At 42.4% G+C, this 16,961-nt stretch overlaps 1 protein-coding gene across 15 annotated transcripts in view, besides 2 other annotated features; it reads right to left on the minus strand.

Annotated features, from left to right (window-relative positions):
* Positions 613-16,961, minus strand: part of MAGI2 (membrane associated guanylate kinase, WW and PDZ domain containing 2) — a 1,436,613-nt gene continuing 1,420,264 nt past the window's right edge. For 10 of the 15 annotated variants that reach the window (XM_017012845.3, XM_017012846.3, XM_011516718.3 and 7 more), the window contains 2 exons: positions 9,626-9,662; positions 613-3,534 (listed from right to left, as the gene is read on the minus strand). In XM_017012845.3, coding sequence (XP_016868334.1) covers positions 2,873-3,534; positions 9,626-9,662 — 699 coding nt within the window. In that variant the 3' untranslated portion in view covers positions 613-2,872. The remainder of the gene's footprint in view (positions 3,535-9,625; positions 9,663-16,961) is intronic. The other 5 variants (XM_047421093.1, NM_001301128.2, NM_012301.4 and 2 more) reach the window with 1 other exon arrangement.
* Positions 2,600-3,101: an enhancer, noted in NCBI's record as "H3K27ac hESC enhancer chr7:77648359-77648860 (GRCh37/hg19 assembly coordinates)". NCBI's record gives its function as "activates a minimal SCP1, AML or CMV promoter by ChIP-STARR-seq in primed H9 embryonic stem cells {active_cell/tissue: H9 hESC(primed)}" and the evidence as "EXISTENCE:reporter gene assay evidence [ECO:0000049][PMID:30033119]".
* Positions 3,082-3,241: a silencer, noted in NCBI's record as "silent region_18332". NCBI's record gives its function as "represses an Ori minimal core promoter by ATAC-STARR-seq in GM12878 lymphoblastoid cells {active_cell/tissue: GM12878}" and the evidence as "EXISTENCE:reporter gene assay evidence [ECO:0000049][PMID:35858748]".

A 16,961-nucleotide genomic window follows, 5' to 3' on the forward strand; every position in this document is an offset into this window, starting at 1 on the left:
GGGAACTTTAGGCCTCCTACTGACAGGTGGAGAGGAGGATCTTGATTAGCGTTGAACTGTTCCTTCCGATCGTCAACTCCTCGATGGCAGGGTTGTAATCACCCAAGGGCCAAGCAGAACTCTCCCTTCCTACCACAGGCATCGCAATACATGACAAAAGCTATATTCAACCATTCATTTTGGACCAGTTCACTGCTGCTTGCTATGTTGGCTTCTGCATGAACTCCTTGGGATTTTGCATGAGAAAATTTCAGAATTAAAAGGAAAAAATGTGATGGAATTTATTACAGATGGATACTTTAAATCCTTTTTGAAAAAAGGTAAAGTATCGATCAATGTAGCAAGCAACAGAAATATACAGCCAATTCATGAATGATGTAGTAACCTGACAAGCAAATATCAACAAGACTGAGAAAACTGTTTACTTAGGCCAAAAAAGCCAATGATCTTTCCCATGTAATGCCACTGCTTTTAGATTCAAGTTTCAAAAAAGTCCTATTTGGGGCATTAAAACTTATACTTCCAAAAATAAAAAAAGTCGATGAAAACTGCAGTTTTGAAAAACTAAGTTAACCCCCAGTAATAATCTATTTCAAATTAACACACAGCCTATATAGTTGGAAAAAGAAAAGATTTTTGGATATATATTTTATTTGACAGTGTTTTAGAATATCATACAGTAAACAAGATTTCTGTAAAAGTTAATTTATCCATAGTGGTACGTTTCATAAAAATAGTTGCTCACTTACAGTCTTTCTGTGACTATTAATACATGGAATTATATTTATAGAGATACAGCTGTACAGGGTAAATTCACAGCTAACACTACACAAATATTATTTGGAATGGGATTTAGATGATGTGCTGTCTTCACAGGTTATGGATTACAGCCGCATAAAGCAATTACTGCACAAGTAGTAGCTGTGAACTGTGCAAACTAGAGTTTATGCCAGTGTAATCTCAATTTTTTTTTCCTTTTGTAATACATGGAAAATAAAGTCAGAGGATACAGTACCAGGACGTGCAGCTACACTACAGAAGCATTGTCCAAAACCAGATTCAATAAATTAATGGCAAACTATACTGGATTTCTAGTCCAGGGGAGAAAGACTAATTGAGATTAAACCAAAAGCATTATAAACTGCTACAAGTGTTTGTGCTTTTGTTTACGATGAATGGGTTTCATTTTTGGAAATTGCTTTTACAAGCTGCAAGATCCTTCACTTGAGGCTTTCAGCCTTATTCTCCTCCTGTCAAACAACTAAACTACTCCGATGTTTGATGAAAATTAAACTGCTACTCAGGATACTGCAATTACAAGGAGAGGGAATGATCAGCCCAGGGAGGCTATTACGTGTGACCTTTGAGATGGACCTGATCGCCCCTTTTACTTTTTAGACTACAAGTGCAGGGAGGTGGAGCTTATTTGCATTTGAACTCCTGTAAAGAGTAAGAATATGGAAAGGATGAAGCCTCATTCATTCGGGCATATTAAAAAGAAATTGCCTTCAGAAACACTTTGCCTTTTAATATGTGTAGCTACAGTAAGTACCAATGGCTAATTAATTGAAGCTAACATTTTACAAAGAAATGCTAAAACAGCAGGGAAGAAAGGCAAGACTTAGAATTTTACTAGGAGGTCAATCATAGATCCATGAAGATAAACATCTAGAAGTTGCTAACAAAATAAAGTGGCAAGGAATACAAGACGAAAGAAAACTAATGGAAACAAAAGGACAAAGGGTAAGGAAAGAAGGATAAGCAGAAAGGAATGCTAAAAAGACTCACGTTCTTTAATGAAAATAAATTGATTGTAATTTTTTAATATTATAATCTGAGAAATATAAGACAAATACTCTGCCTCTGCTCTGTCAAAGTGCAAATGAAGTCATGGAGACAGGGTTTAAAATAAGACAATAAAATAAGTGAAATCACATTGCTGACAAAGAAGCTATCCATCTCTGCTAGCCTGGGACGACAGAAAAGCCTCTTCATAAAGGAACTGCAGCGTTGCCTATCTTGATTAAACAAATTGTGGTCCTTCAATTATAAAATTCATATTTTAGAGAAAAACCAATTAAGATCTATGAGCTAAACTGCAAAATTCTGACTTATGGCAAACTGTTCCCTAGGATACAATTTTTAAAACCTTTTTTTTCTACCACTGAAAATGTACAGAAATATGATTTGATCACAGAAAGGGCAATAAAAATGGCATCACACCAAGAAACTCACTAGATTTCTAAGTCATCCTGCAGGAGGCAGGGAACGCTGCTGCTAACACCGAGGATGGATGCCAAGGGTGAGCCATGGAAACATGTCATGGGTGAACGGTTCCGAATGTGTCAAAGAAACCCTTTAACCCCTGTCTAGATATGTCGAGAACAATTTATTTACAACGCTTTAGATCAATTAAAAGATATAATCTTGTCTCAGTTTCAGCTTGCTCCGTGCAGTTTGATTTTTAAGGCGATATTCCAGTTTGTGATTGCTCTTAACTTTGTCCTGTTTCTTGATATAAAGTTTGGATGACATCCAAGTCCTTCATGCAGTGGGGAGGAATATTTTTTTTTCTTAAACTAAAGCTACACTGCACTGTCTCTCTGTGATGTTCTTCACGTTATTTTGGTTCTTCCATAGCTGCCAAAGCCCCCACAAGGGAACCGGGGGCTTTAGGATCAGTTTAGGTCTGCGCGTTGATGCGATGCCGCCCAAGCACACCGGACACGTGGGACTTCACGTCGATGCTCCCAGGCCTTGGTGCCTCGTGGATCTATGCGTGTGACAGTGAAAATAAATTAAAACGCCGTGAGACGGAACCTAAGAAGAACTGCCTGCGCCGGGGCGGGCGGGTTGGCCGTGGCCGCGCGGCTCATCTGCTGGCGGCCGAGGCGCCGGGTTTGAGGACGCTGGGCAGCTTGTCAGAACCCGGCACCTTCCAGGGCCCCGGCGCGACGGCGGCCTTGCGCGCCGGGGCGCCCCCCGGGGGTCGCGGGCCCGGCCGGGGACCCGCGCGCGCACCCGCCCTGCCCTCGGCCTCCAGCGCGCCGCTGCCGCCGCCGCCCGGGCCGGCAAACGCCGGCGCAGCCCCCGGGCCTTCGCGCCGGCAGAGCTCGGAGCCCGCCGCCGCACGGGGCGCCTCCTTCCCGCCCGCCCGCGCCGCGTCCGCCGCGTCTGCCGCCGCGAGCCCGGGCGCCCTGGCCTCCGAGGCGGGCCTGCCGGCCTCGGGCCGCCCCTGGCCGCCGGGCGCCTCCTCGAGCCTCGGCCGCGCGGCCCTCTGCGGACTCGCCGAGCGCTCCCTCTGCTCCCCGAGGCGCTGCTTCTTCTGGCCGCAGGCTGAAAGCTCCTTTGGTTTCCTAACGTCGTGTTCCCGTTTGATATCCCAAGTTGGGCCTGGGCTTATCTGGTGGGAAGGGTCGGAGGGTGGGGCTGGATGTGATGGAGAGAATGGAGCGAGGCCGTCGTCCAGGGAGACGCCTACTTCCGGCAGACCTGGGGCGGCGGCAGCGGGAGAACTCCAGGGGGCGGGTTCGTCTGTGGACGGGAAGCACAGGCGTTAGCAGTGGCGCACGCAGGACGTCCCCGTGCCCTCTCTACGCCGGGGACAGGGGCAGGCAGCTGGGGCGATTGCTCTCAGGGGCCGGAGCCACCGCCGCCCCCACCCCCACCCCCACCCTCACTGCCGAGAGGGCAGCGGCCGCGCCCCCGGGGATTTGGGGGTTCCCTCCGCCCCGCTTAGCCCCCACGCCCCGAACCTCGTCCGTGGACCGGGGAGGCCAACGCGAAGCCCAGGCCTAATCCCTTCGCCTTGGCCCTGCTAACTTCCGGGGGTGTTCTCGGGCCTGATAGTCCTGTATAGACAGCTCACTTGACAGCCCTTGAATAAATGGGTCTCCAACTCGAGTAGACCTTGGAATCACCAGGGTGGTGGTGAAAAATACAGATTCCCCGGGAGGAGCAGGCCCGGAGGTTTCAGCAGCACGGGGCCCAGGAAGTCCTCTGTATTTTTATCAGGCACCCATTCTGAAAAAGGTGGCCTAGCAGGGGTGTCCAATCTTTTGGCTTCTTTGGGCTACATTAGAATTGTCTTGGGCTACACATAAAATACACTAACGATAGCTGATGGGCTCAAAAAAAAAAGGTCCATGCATAAATCTCATAATCTTTTAAGAAAGTTTACAAATTTGTGTTGGGTCACATTCAAAGCTGGAGGCGGGTTGGACAAGCTTGGTTTAGAGCCAAGCTTTGAGAAACACTGGTCTGGGTTCTCTGGAAGTTGGGAAGTGACGTTCTCAACCAGTAGGTGTCACTCAAAGCATATTCCTAGCTGCTGTCAGTTTCAGAATTTGGATAAATACATTTTAAAACTATCATTTTTTAAAAAAAATCGTCCTTAATTCCATTTTTTTTCTTTGCCAAGTCCGGATGGAACTTAATTCTTTTTAGTACTTCTAACATTATGGAGGGCCCCAGGACTAAGATAATTCTTTCTAGGAAGTCTAGTTCCAACATTTACTTAGGATTTAAGTTACCTACTTCCAAAAAGGATTTAAGACAATTGACAACATCAAAACACATATAAAACAATGATTAAAATGAGAGATGACTTTTTTTTTAAAGCAACAGCTGGTCAGAGGCCAAGTAGAAGGACAGATGTATTAGGAATCTGAGATGAGTTAGCTGCTACTGTGAGCAACAACAGTTCCCTGGAGCTTCTGGCCACTAAGGGGAAATGAAAGCAGGGAAATCCAATTACTGTGAATCCTTGATATTTGTAAGAAATATGTCTCATGACCTTGGAAATGCTCAAATTTTGTGATATTCTAGAGTGTAATTTTTCTTCCACAGAATTGGTATATGGTCATGAGTGGAGAACGAAGAAACCACATTGATAGATTTGAATTCTGGGTGCCAGGTGAGCCTCCCTCACTAGCTAAAAGATTCAGTCCCACACAGCAACCTCAGTGCATGTGATTCAAGCTCTTGCCTCTGTAACGTGTCAGAGGCTGTCAGTGATACTTGTGCATACTCAGTCCATTAATGTCCAGGGTCTACTTTGTTTGAAACTTGAGGGTTCTTATATAGTACCTTTGATACTGATTTATAAAGCAATAAGGAGAGGAAAAGGGCAGTGGCAATGGTTTTCCCAATAATTCTGGCCATCTTTAGAATGGCAAATCAAAAACGTTTCTCATTCTATGTGAAATTCGAATGGAACATTTTGGGCATAATGTTAACCTTCCTTCTTCCATACACTGATGTCCATTATCATTTTCACATGGTAAAATCCTAGAAGTCCTGGAATCTAATCCTGGCTCTGGCATGTATTTACTGGTGACGTGATTTTGGACCAACAACTAAATCTCTCTGAGCCTCAATTTCTTCCTTTATAAGATGGGGATAAAATATCCAACTTTACAGATGTGAGACATACACTTTCTAAGGGAAAGCACTTTGCAATGGGAGGGTCAATCATATTTTTCTTCTGTACCCCACCTGCTGCCTACTTATGGATTGGGCTCCTGTGGAAGCCGCCTCATTAACTAGTACCTTTGCAGGTGAGGTTTTGAATAAGTGCAATAAGGCAGTCATTTCCAGGTGCTGTGATTCCCAGGTGTCATTTTGCTACACCTCAGGTATCCTTGGTTACCTTAAGGAATAGTCTGAAATCCTCAAAGGCAAATATATCCAATGAAAATGAGAATGTGTTCTACTTTTGGGTGGGTTAGAGTTTAAAATCAGACTAACAAATGATAAGTGGTGGCAATCCACCCATCTAGCGAGATACAGCTTAGAAGAGTTAAAAAGTGGTCTTCAAAAGGCCTAACTAGAGGGTAGCTTGTGCAACAGTGATCTCTGACTTGGACCATGGTAATGATATTTCACATTTTAATAGCTCTTTTCCCCATCATTACATCACATATGGTAGAGTTAATTAGCTGGCCTCAAATTACTTCTTAGATAAGGGGAGAAGGTTGATATTACTCACACCATTTCCTGAAGGAGGAATTGAAGTAGAGAGAGGTTAACTAACTTGACCAAGATTACAAAATGGGCCAGTTAGGAGTAAAAATTTGGGTTTCTTTACTCTTTTTACTTAGAAACTGTCCCAAGATGTTACCTTGCAAATAGGATTAAAGTATGTGAAATGGGCAAGAACAGTGGCCACTGCCAACCAACAGGAACCAGATCTTATCCTTAAGCAGAAGACTTAGCATTTATTTCTGAACATCTTACTACATATCTGGCATTGAACTGGAGAGTTCCTATCCAGAAAAATGAAAAAATATTCATCCATCCATCATTAGTTGGCTTCAAATTACTTCTGAGATTCAGGGAGACACTCTTTTCTTTCCCTCCTCCAGTGATTTTTCATATCGTAAAAGGTGAAATTATTCACAAATTCAAAGATTCCTCTTATAAAAGTTTCTCAAGAGTTTGTTTATAGATCATTAAACACTTAACAGCGGGAGAAACTAAAAACTAAAATGTTCCAAGTCACTATGGGTTAAAAATATTAACAAGAAATTAAGATTTACTATATCACAAAGTGATTTAAAAGATGGATATCTATATGAGTGGTTGAATATTTTCATTTTTCTGCACAGGAACTCTTCAGTTCAGTACGAAACATATGGTGTCTGTCCAGGCACGAGCCTGCAAAGCTCCAGGCACGAGCCTGCAAAGCTCTGTAAAGCACAAGGGGCCTCTTCAGTAGGCAGCCCATATCCCACCTTGCCCTATCACCTGCCTCAGCAAGGTGACACAGATTGTGCTGGACAGGAAGAGCCCTTCTCTAAGACTGGAAAATCTAGTTTTTATGAAATCTTGACATATAATAACCAGAAGAGTTCAATTTAGTTCTGCTTCCTTCAGACGATGTTTTTCTCCTTCCTGCCTCCCTGCCTGCCTACCTGTTTCCCTGCCTCCTCCTTCCCTCCTTCCTTCCTTGCCTCCCTTTCTCCTTTTTTGGACCTGGGCGTTGGCTAAAGTGTGTGATCATGTTCATTTATGAGGTGGTTGCCAAGGAAGATGTGCTACACAGCATCGTTCACGTTCTGAGATGCTCTAACTACAATTAGAAATAATAGAGACCCATCCTAGAAGGATGAAATCAGCCATATCTGGCCTGCTGGGATTTATGCAGCCCCTTTGTCCAATGTCCCCAGGCCCAGTGGCTAAAATTAAGAAGGAAAATCCTTTCATTCCAAACTGGCTTCCTCAGCCTGCCCTCTCCACCACTACCCTGGTGAAACTGCTCTAGTCAAGGTTGCCGATGACCTTTCTGATGTGAAATCCAGAGGACTCTGTATTCAACTTAACATAGTTGGCCCTCCACATCTGTGGGTTCTACATCTGCAAATTCAACCAAATGAGGATGGAAAATATTTGGGAAAAATACAAAATAACAATACAACGATTAAAGGTAATACAAATTAAAAACACAGTACAGCAGTTGTTGACATAGCACTTACATTGTGCTGGGTATTATAAATGACCTAGAGATGATTTAAAGTATTTGGGAGGATGTATGTAGGTTATATGCAAATACTATACCAGTTCATATAAGGGACTTGAGCATCTGAACATTTTGATATTTGTGGGGGTCCAGGAACCAATCCCCCAGAAACTAAAGGATGACTATATCTTACCACATTTTCACACAGCTGACTACTTCCATTAACAAACTGGACTCTTGGTTGTCAGGACACCCCATTCTCCTGCTTTTTATCCTACTTCTGGCAGTTTCTCCTCAATTTACTTTGCAGATTCCTCTTATTTTACCTGACTTCTTTAGGGCTTGGTCTTACATAGTTTTCTTTCTCTGCATTCCCTCCTAGGTGTTTTCATTATTCATGTAGCTTTTATATAACAATACTCCCAAATGTTTCTGCTGAGCTCTGCCAGCTGTACACTGGTATATCCATCTGCCTTCTCGATGTCCACTTGGACAGTTCATCGGCTTCTTTAATAAGTCCAAATAGAAATCTTTTCCCCCAAACCTATCCTGGACTCTCTCCCTTATTTCCCCATGTTGGTGAATGGCACAGTCATCACTTGGAGTCATCCTTGATTCCTTTCTCTCCCTTACTGCACAAATACAACCCACCTGCAAGACTTATTAGTCTTATCTTCAAATATATGTGAACCCTGTCAACTTATCTTCACCTTCACTTTCACCGCCCTAATTCAAAATATGGGGATTTCCTGGAAGGATGCAACCAATGTGGGCTGCTGAAGACACAATTGAAAGAGGGCCACGTGTGGACATCTTTCATAAACCCTTGGGGATACTGTTGAAGACAGAAATTTCTAAAATGAATTTCAGTGCTATTCAGAAAAGAGAAGTATAGTCTACCATGAACCACATACCCTCCCCAGGGCAACTAACCTAATTACCCTACTCAAGGGATTGGCCTGCCAAGCTATCATTTCTCACATGGGCTACAAGAACCCACTCTTCTTTCATTCTACTCTTGCCCACCTCCAGTGATTATCTGTATAACATTCACAGCTATCTCTTTGAGACATAAATTAGATCATGCCATTCCCTTGCTTGAACACTCAATGGATCCCCACTGCTCTTAGATCAAAATCCAAAATGATTTAACATAGCCTAAAAAAGCCTGCATGATCTGGCCCCTGCCAGCCTCCCCAGCTTCATTTCCCCTCATTGCCTATTCTCCACCCACACTGGTCTTCGTTCAGTTCTTCAAATGCTCCAAGCTCACTTTCTATTCTGGGACATCATTGCTGACTTCTCTGCTGGAGGAAGGCTTCCCCACAACTATCTAAAAAGAACATGGCGGGTTCTTTTTCATCCTTCAGGACTCTTAATATCATCCCAGAGAACTCCAATCTACAGTAGATACTACACCCCCTCAGCAGCTTCTCGATTTTATTTCGTTGTAGTAATTATAATGTGTAATTATACTTTTGCTTGCTTATTTGATAAACATCAGTCTCAAATGCTAGCTGTAAGCTTCATAAGGGCAATGACCACATTGGCCTTGTTTATCACAGTGTATTTAATAACTAGCATAGCCCTCGACACAAAAATAAGTGCTTGATGAATATTTGATGAGTGAATACATATATTCCACAAATAGAAATGGAAGACTTGAAACCAAATGCTGACTTGAGGAAACACTTCAGGGCAAAGGATTTTCATTTGAAGTATAATCTGTCAAAAACAGGTTTGTATTTGGAACTTTGATCAGTTTTGAGAGGGATGATGGTGGTGAAATGGTAATGTGTATGTGAAGCGGGAGGGGAAATGACTAAGTTTGGGGAGAGGGAACAAGGAGGAAGCCAGCCACAGAAATACACTGGGAAGAGTTCCCGCTTTCATCGGAGGCCCCTTAGGATGGACAGGGATGAAGAGAAGCTCAGATTCCCAGGGCGCAAAGTCAAATTCTGAATTTTTATGGATGTTCTTTCCCGTGTTATGAGCTCTAATGATGCAGTAATAGCTTTACTTAAAGGAGCTCTGTCCCTGGGAAGTCATTAACCAACATGCCAGAAAATGTTCCAATGAACCCACAGGTAAGATAGACTCTAAATATCTTATATTCCACTGTGGGAGAAGCAAGCCCCTCTCCTAAGTTAGGATCAAGTTTCTTACCCTTCCTATTGTCAGTTCTAGCCAGTTTGGATCTTTCCTAGAAAACAGATTGATTAATCCATAAGTACATATCAGTATATATACACACAGATCACACACACCCCATTATGTTTTAGTTAAAAGATGTATGGTTTCTCAAATTATCTTGTAGGAGCCCAGCAATATTAAAAAATAAAATGTGCTCCTTCACTTCATATGCCAGAAATAAAAAATCTCATCTACAGAAATTGTGTTTCAACAGCTTGTTTATGATATATAACCAAAGTGATGGTAAAACCAGAGAGCTGACCCAATAGGAATAAACTGCTTGTTGCAGTAAATAAGTATCTGTATTCTTGGTTTTCCCATATGGCTCTTAACTCCAGCAAACATTTGTGCAGAAGAGGAAAGCATAACCCACATCAAAGGAGAGTTAATTTTATCCTGTGCTGAAGACACAGAGGTTGAGAAAGAAAAATCTTTTAAGGATTGTGCCCAAATTATAATGGTTCATTTGCATCTGTTCCACCATCACAAAGGTGATTGCTCTTTATAACAAAACATAAACAAGAAAACCCTTAGAAGGGAGCCAGAGACTGTGGGCAATGGTGGGGTTCGGGTGGGGCCGGAGGTGGGGTGGGGAAAGAGACTTTGTCAGCTGTCCCATACCTCACCAGTGGCCTCAGGGCATCCAGCTTCAGGCTGGGTGTTTCCGAAAGCCATGAATAAGAGTTCCTACATTGCTTTCCTACTCTCATTACAGGGCATGAACCCAGGGCCTAACGACTGCGTCTTGGATTAGAGTGGTCAGGAAGATAATAGAAGCATTATTGCTATTGATACTACTCATAATGGCAATAGCTAACACTGACTGAGGTACTTACTAGATGCCAGGCACTCTTTGAAGGCCCTGAAATGTATTAACTCATGTTAATACATGTAAACTGACACATTTTACAGATGAGGAAACAGAGACACAGAGGTTAAGGAACTTGTTCAAGGCCACACAGCTGGTAGCTAAGGGGCATTGAATGGCTTTCGGAATTGGGTAATGTTCTACAAACTCAGCTGAAACACTGACGCTGAATGTCTTTACTGTCTGCTAGTCTGATTGAGAAATGAGGGCTCATGTCTTCTTCTGGGGCAGTATAACAGAAACTTCCATCTAAAGTGATTGTCAGAAGCAGGTCCATCGTTATTCCTAATGGAGACTCTCAAACGCCATTTGTGTTTGAACCTTGGACACAGTCGCTATGATTAGAGCATTGATCTGTGAAAATGATAGAAATATGACCTGCAGGCCAGGCGCGGTGGCTCACACCTGTAATCCCAGCACTTTGGGAAGCCAAGGCGGGTGGATCACCTGAGGTCAGGAGTTCAAGACCAGCCTGGCTAACATGGTAAAACCCCGTCTCTACTAAAAATACAAAAATTAGCCGGGTGTGGTGGCACATGCCTGTAATCCCAGCTACTCGGGATGCTGAGGCATGAGAATCGCTTGAACCTGGGAGGCAGAAGTTACAGTGAGCCGAGATCATGCCTCTGCACTCCAGCCTGGGCGACAGAGTGAGACTCCATCTCAAAAAAAAAAAAAAAAGAAAGAAAAAGAAAAAGAAATATGACCTGCAATCAGAGAACAATAAAATTGGATTTCTTAAGGGCAGGGATAGTACTATCTACTTAAAAAAATATCTTCACAGTGACATTCCTTGAAGCTGGATTGAATTGAAAATATATTAGATACTGGAGACACTGAGTCACTTTGAGACATAAATACTTTTACTGCTCAAATGACTAGAATTATTCTGTAAAAATATCCATGAATTTAGTGCCATTTGTTATAAAACTCTTTCCTGTTGCAACCTACAGTTGTCTGGGGTTAGACAATACTGGTGTGGTTTTATTGAAATCTATTTTCTTTTAATTTAGAATATTATGGGAAAATACTAAAATGATTAAGGTAGATCAAAGGACAGTAATGTGAAGTCATTTGGCATTCAAAAGAAAAACCTTTTAAGAATTGTGTTCAAACTATAAAGGTTCATTTGCATCTGTTCAGCCATCACTAAGGTGATTGCTTTTTGTAACAAAATATAAACAAAAGTACCTTGAAAATTGCAGAACAAATGGTTTTACTTTGCATCTGCTCTTTCTGAAGCATTGTTTCCAAGTATGGAGCCATCGTTAATGGCCTTCAAACATGTATTTGTTTCACTTATATTACCAGAGATGTAAACTAGATGTTATGAACATTAATAACTTTTACAATGGTGATGGTATTTGCTTATTGAAGCTTCACATTTATATTCATTTTAAAAGCATAATCAAAGGTGCAGCAATGAATCTGTGGCAAGTTTTAGCTACCTCTATGGCCAAAAGGGCAAATCTCATGGATAGGTGGGGCTGTTAACAATGGAGCAGCTATCTACTGAGAGCCTTCTATGTACTAGGAACTCTGCTGCGTGGATCACATATGTATATTATCTTTTAATCCTCCTAACAGTTCAAAGAACTATGGTGCTATTAGGCCAGGTGTGGTGGTTCACACCTGTAATCCCAGCACTTTGGGAGGCCAAGGTGGGCAGATCACTTGAGGTCAGGAGTTCGAGACCAGCCTGGCCAAGATGGCAAAACACCATCTCTACTAAAAATACAAAAATTAGCTGGGCATGGTGGCACGTGCCTGTAATCCCAGCTACTCGGGAGGCAGGAGAATCTCTTGAACCTGGGAGGCGGAGGTTGCAGTGAGCTGAGATTGTGCCACTGCACTCCAGCCTGGGCAACAGAGCAAGACTCCATCTCAAAAAAAAAAAAAAAAAAAAAGAACTATGTTGCTATTATCCCCATTTCAAAGATCAGGAAACTGAGAGGTAGATAAATTAAGCAATTTGCCAGGACCACTAAGCTAGTAAGTGAGAATCAGGATAACTGACTGAGTAACTCTAGAGTGCAAGCCCAAAACACTACTCTGTTATATTAATAACCTTATTAATATAACCTTATTAATATTCCAACCTTTTCCACATTGGGACACATACAGAAAAGGATGATACCTGGACAGTGCACTGTAGTAAACATGAAAATGATCAAGGTCTGAAGATACCAAACCCTTTCTGAACACTCTGAGGGCTAAGGGGAGGCAACATCTTGGTATAACTCACGAGAGGTGTGAGCACAGGTTAGGAAACTCAGGTCTATTTTCCAAGATTTTAAAAAATCCCGGACTGGTTTGGGAATGTGGGGATGCCTAAGGATGAGTTTGAATGAGTAAAATCTGCATTAGAGAATCTATGAGAAATGTGCTGGTTCATTTATTTCAAGCATGTGTTAAGTGTTTGAATGATGCTTGGAGACCTTCTTCCCCTCAAATATTTAAAGACAAGTTTTGAGGCAGTGGTTTTCAGACCTGTTTAGAAAGCAACACATCCTCCTGCTCAAATACGATTTTAAATGAAAGCCCAATATGTAAAACAGATAAAAATGGATCTGCTTTTGTTAGTCAAGTAGGACCCAAAGCCTGCTGCCACCCACCCTGAGTCCCAACCGCAGAGGCCCTTTAGGCCATTTCTTGGGATGCTCCAGGCTCTAACAGAACAGTCTGCAAACGACTGCGTGTTGAAAACTACTGCGTGTTGAAAACCATTGCGTGTTGAAAACCACTGCATGAAGAAGTGGTGTCTCTCAAAGTCCCCATTGAAGTGCAGAAATCTCTACTCTGGTGGTAGAAAGGCAAGGAAGTCAGAGATTTGCTCACTAGCCTGTGTTTTTAAGTATTGGTAGCTGAGAGTTAAGACTCCAAAGAAGGGAGATAAAGCACAGGGAAGTTTTGCTGAAGTAAGGGGGTTGGAAGCATCTGTCACACAGCAGGGAAGGACAGACTTTACCTTTCCGTAATTTTTTCTAGGGCACTCAGTCACTTGGAGCCTCAGCTGACTGTTCACAGTCCTGCTGAGTCAAGATTTGTCCTACTTGTCTTTAGGAAGCAAGTCAGCAACTTGTGGTAGAGAGTGGCTACTGGGAGACCTGGTTTCCACCTCTAATTCTGCCCCTTGGTGTGAACTTGGGAAGTCATGTAACATTTTCAGCCTCAATTTCTCACCTGTAAAATGGAACAATACCTGCCATACTTCCTTCTCAGAGTTGTAAAGAGCAAATGAAATAATCTATATGGATGTTATATGCACATTAGCCATTAAATTAATAGTTTGAATCCAGTTATTTTTATTTTTATTTTTTGAGATGGAGTCTCGCTCTGTCACCAGGCTGGAGTGCAATGGTGCGATCTCAGCTCACTGTAACCTCCTGGTTCAAGCGATTCTCCTGCCTCAGCCTCCAGAATAGCTGGGATTACAGGCACACGCCACCAAGCCCAGCTAATTTTTGTATTTTTAGTAGAGACGGGGTTTCACCATGTTGGCCAGGATGGTCTTGATCTCTTGACCTTATGATCCACCCACCTTGGCCTCCCAAAATGCTGGGATTACAGGCATGAGCCACTGCACCCGGCCTGAATCCAATTATCGAATGGACAGTTTACCAAGATGATATGCGGATGGACAAATAAGCACATAAAAGAGCATCTTTTATGTTCAACATCAGTAGTAGAAAAATAAAAATGAAAACTACAATGAGATACCACTGCATACCTATGTGGCTATAATTAAACAACAGTGACACAACTGAAAATAACTGGCAAGAACGTGGAGCAATTAAGACTCTCACACAATGTTGTCCGGAATAAATGGTAGAACAGCCACTTTAGGAAACAGTTTGGCCGATCCTTAAACATTTAGTTAACATCTGACTCAGGAGTCTCACTCTGAGGTATCTACCTGAGTGAAATAAAAACTGTGTTCACACAAAAACCTGTATGCGGATTTCTATGGTGACTTTATTCATAATCACCAAAAACTGGGAACCACCAAAATGTCCATCAACTGGTGAATGGATAAGCACTCTGTGGTACAATGGGATAGTTCTCAGCTATGAGATGGAACAAGCGACTTATACACTCAACGTGAGTGAATTTCAGCTGAGGTATGCTTAGTGAAAGAAGCCAGATTCAAAAGTGACATACTGTGTGATTCCATCTGTATGACATTCTCAAATAGGCAAAACTAAAGGGAGAGAAAACTGATTAGTGGTTTCCAGGGCTGGGTGTAGGAGGAGGCTTGACTACAATGGGGGATAAGAGAATTTTAGGAGGTTATGAAACTGTTCTATATCTTAATTATGGTAGTGATGATATAACTATGTATTTTTGAAACTCATAGAATTTACACTAAAAAGGGTAAATTTTAATGTATGTAAATAATACTCAATTTTTAAAATGGAAAAGCTTAATAGTGCTGATAAAGTATTTTTAAACCTGGGTGAAGAAACATTTTTAAGTTGATTACACCTTTTGGAAAGAATATTTCCACCACTACTTTGCTTTATAGCTTCAAGCCTCTGTGTCCCTCACCATTGGCTCAAGATGAGCCTTAGCCCAATGAGATGGATAATGAATTCTGAGTTCGTAGAGTTAGAAGAATCTGAATTAAAGAGGTTTTACTTTAATCTTTAGAAGGCATCTTTAATCTCAAAGCTTTTCTAGAATCGTGTTCTTCTTCTTCACAGAAATACAGCCCTGTCTGAAGTGGCAGAGAGCTGAGAAAAGGGATGAGAATAATTAATCAAAAAGTACTTATGTCACGGGAGAGATGATGGAAACCGATAATAGCCACATCTTGCCAAAGATGGAAGAAGTGGAAATGAATTACTCAGAGGATATTCTTGGGCTCCAGCTAAATCTATACCTTCTGGGGTATTCATGATCTTCCTCCTGATCTCTTCGTCTCCTCTGTAAACCGTTTATGTGCAGGGCTTGGGCATAAGATTAGTTCACTTCTAGACTAAGGCCTCATAAGTGATGTGCAACTATATCCCCAACAGTGTGTCCCCAGGGGACAAAGCCCCCCCACTTTTTTTTTTTTTTTTTTTTTTACAATTCCGGCTGTTTAAAAAGAAAATGAATTAGTGAAAATAGAGCCCCTGTGCCTGGAGCTGTCCAATTGTGTTATTGTATTTCAGCAAGGATATCCTTGCTACATTTTTTTCTGTACTCAGCTTTATCTTTCAAAACCCTTTCTTCTCATTCATATCTTTCTACATTAGAACCCAATACCCAGCTGCTTTATTCAACAAATACTATTTCTTTCTTTAGTCACCCAGGCTGCAGTGCAGTGGCACAATTTCCACTCACTGCAGTCTCAACCTCCTAGGTTCAAGCAATCCTCCTGCCTCAGCCTCCCGAGTAGCTGGGATTACAGGTATGCGCCAACACACCTGGGTAGCTTCTGTATTTTTTGTAGAGATGGGGTTTCGTCATGTTGCCCAGGATGGTCTTGAACTTCGGGGCTCAAATGATCTGCCTTCCTTGGCCTCCCAAAGTGCTGGGATTACATGTTTAAGCCATTGTGCCTAGCCAACAACTATTTATTCAGCATCTACTTTTTGTGTTGTACAGGTCTATGCACTGAAAATATGCCTGTGAAGAAAGCAATATTTCTGTCTCCATGGACCTTACTATCAAACTGGAAGAGACCAAAGATTAATATACAAATAGGTGATAATAGAAAGTCTGATATGGATTGGTGCAATGAAGAAAAATAAGGTAAGTTAAGGAGATAGAAAGTGGTGGGTGTTGTTTTAGATAAGCTCATCAGGGAAGGTGATATTAAGCAGGGATTTGAATGCAGAGGAGGAGAAAGTCATTTGGATTCTTGGGCTAAGAACAGACTAGGCAAATGTAACAGACAGTGCAAAGATCCTGATGAGAGAGGGCTTGACATGTTCAAGGAATGACAAGAGGACTGGGAGGTAGAAGGAAGTGTGAGATCATATAGGGCTTCAAGAGAGAGTCTGGATTTTATTCCAAGTGTGATGGAAGCCACTGGATGGTTTCAAGCAGAGAAATGGTATTTTAAAAGGCCAAACACGGCTGCTGTGTGCAAAATAGATTGCAGGTGGAATCAAGAACAGCAGTCTGGAGGCCATTGTGGTAGCTCGGGCAAGACATGATGGTAGCTTGGATGTGGGTGATCGTGATGGAGGTAGTGAGAAGGGGTTGGATTCAGGATATCTTTTTGAAGATAGACTAGAGTGGACCTGCTGATGGATTGAATGTGGGGTGTGAGGAAAGACAGCAGTCAAGGAGGACCCGGAGTTTTGTATTTGTTCACTAGAAAACACCAGTCTGGGCAACATAGCAAGACCCTATCGCTACAAAAAATAAATTAGCTGGGTGCGGTGGTGGGTGTCTGTAGTCCCAGCTACTTGGGAGGTTGAGGTGGGAGGATCACATGAGTCCAGGAGA

Source organism: Homo sapiens, chromosome 7 (assembly GCF_000001405.40).
Source record: "Homo sapiens chromosome 7, GRCh38.p14 Primary Assembly".
NCBI classification, from domain to species: domain Eukaryota; kingdom Metazoa; phylum Chordata; class Mammalia; order Primates; family Hominidae; genus Homo; species Homo sapiens.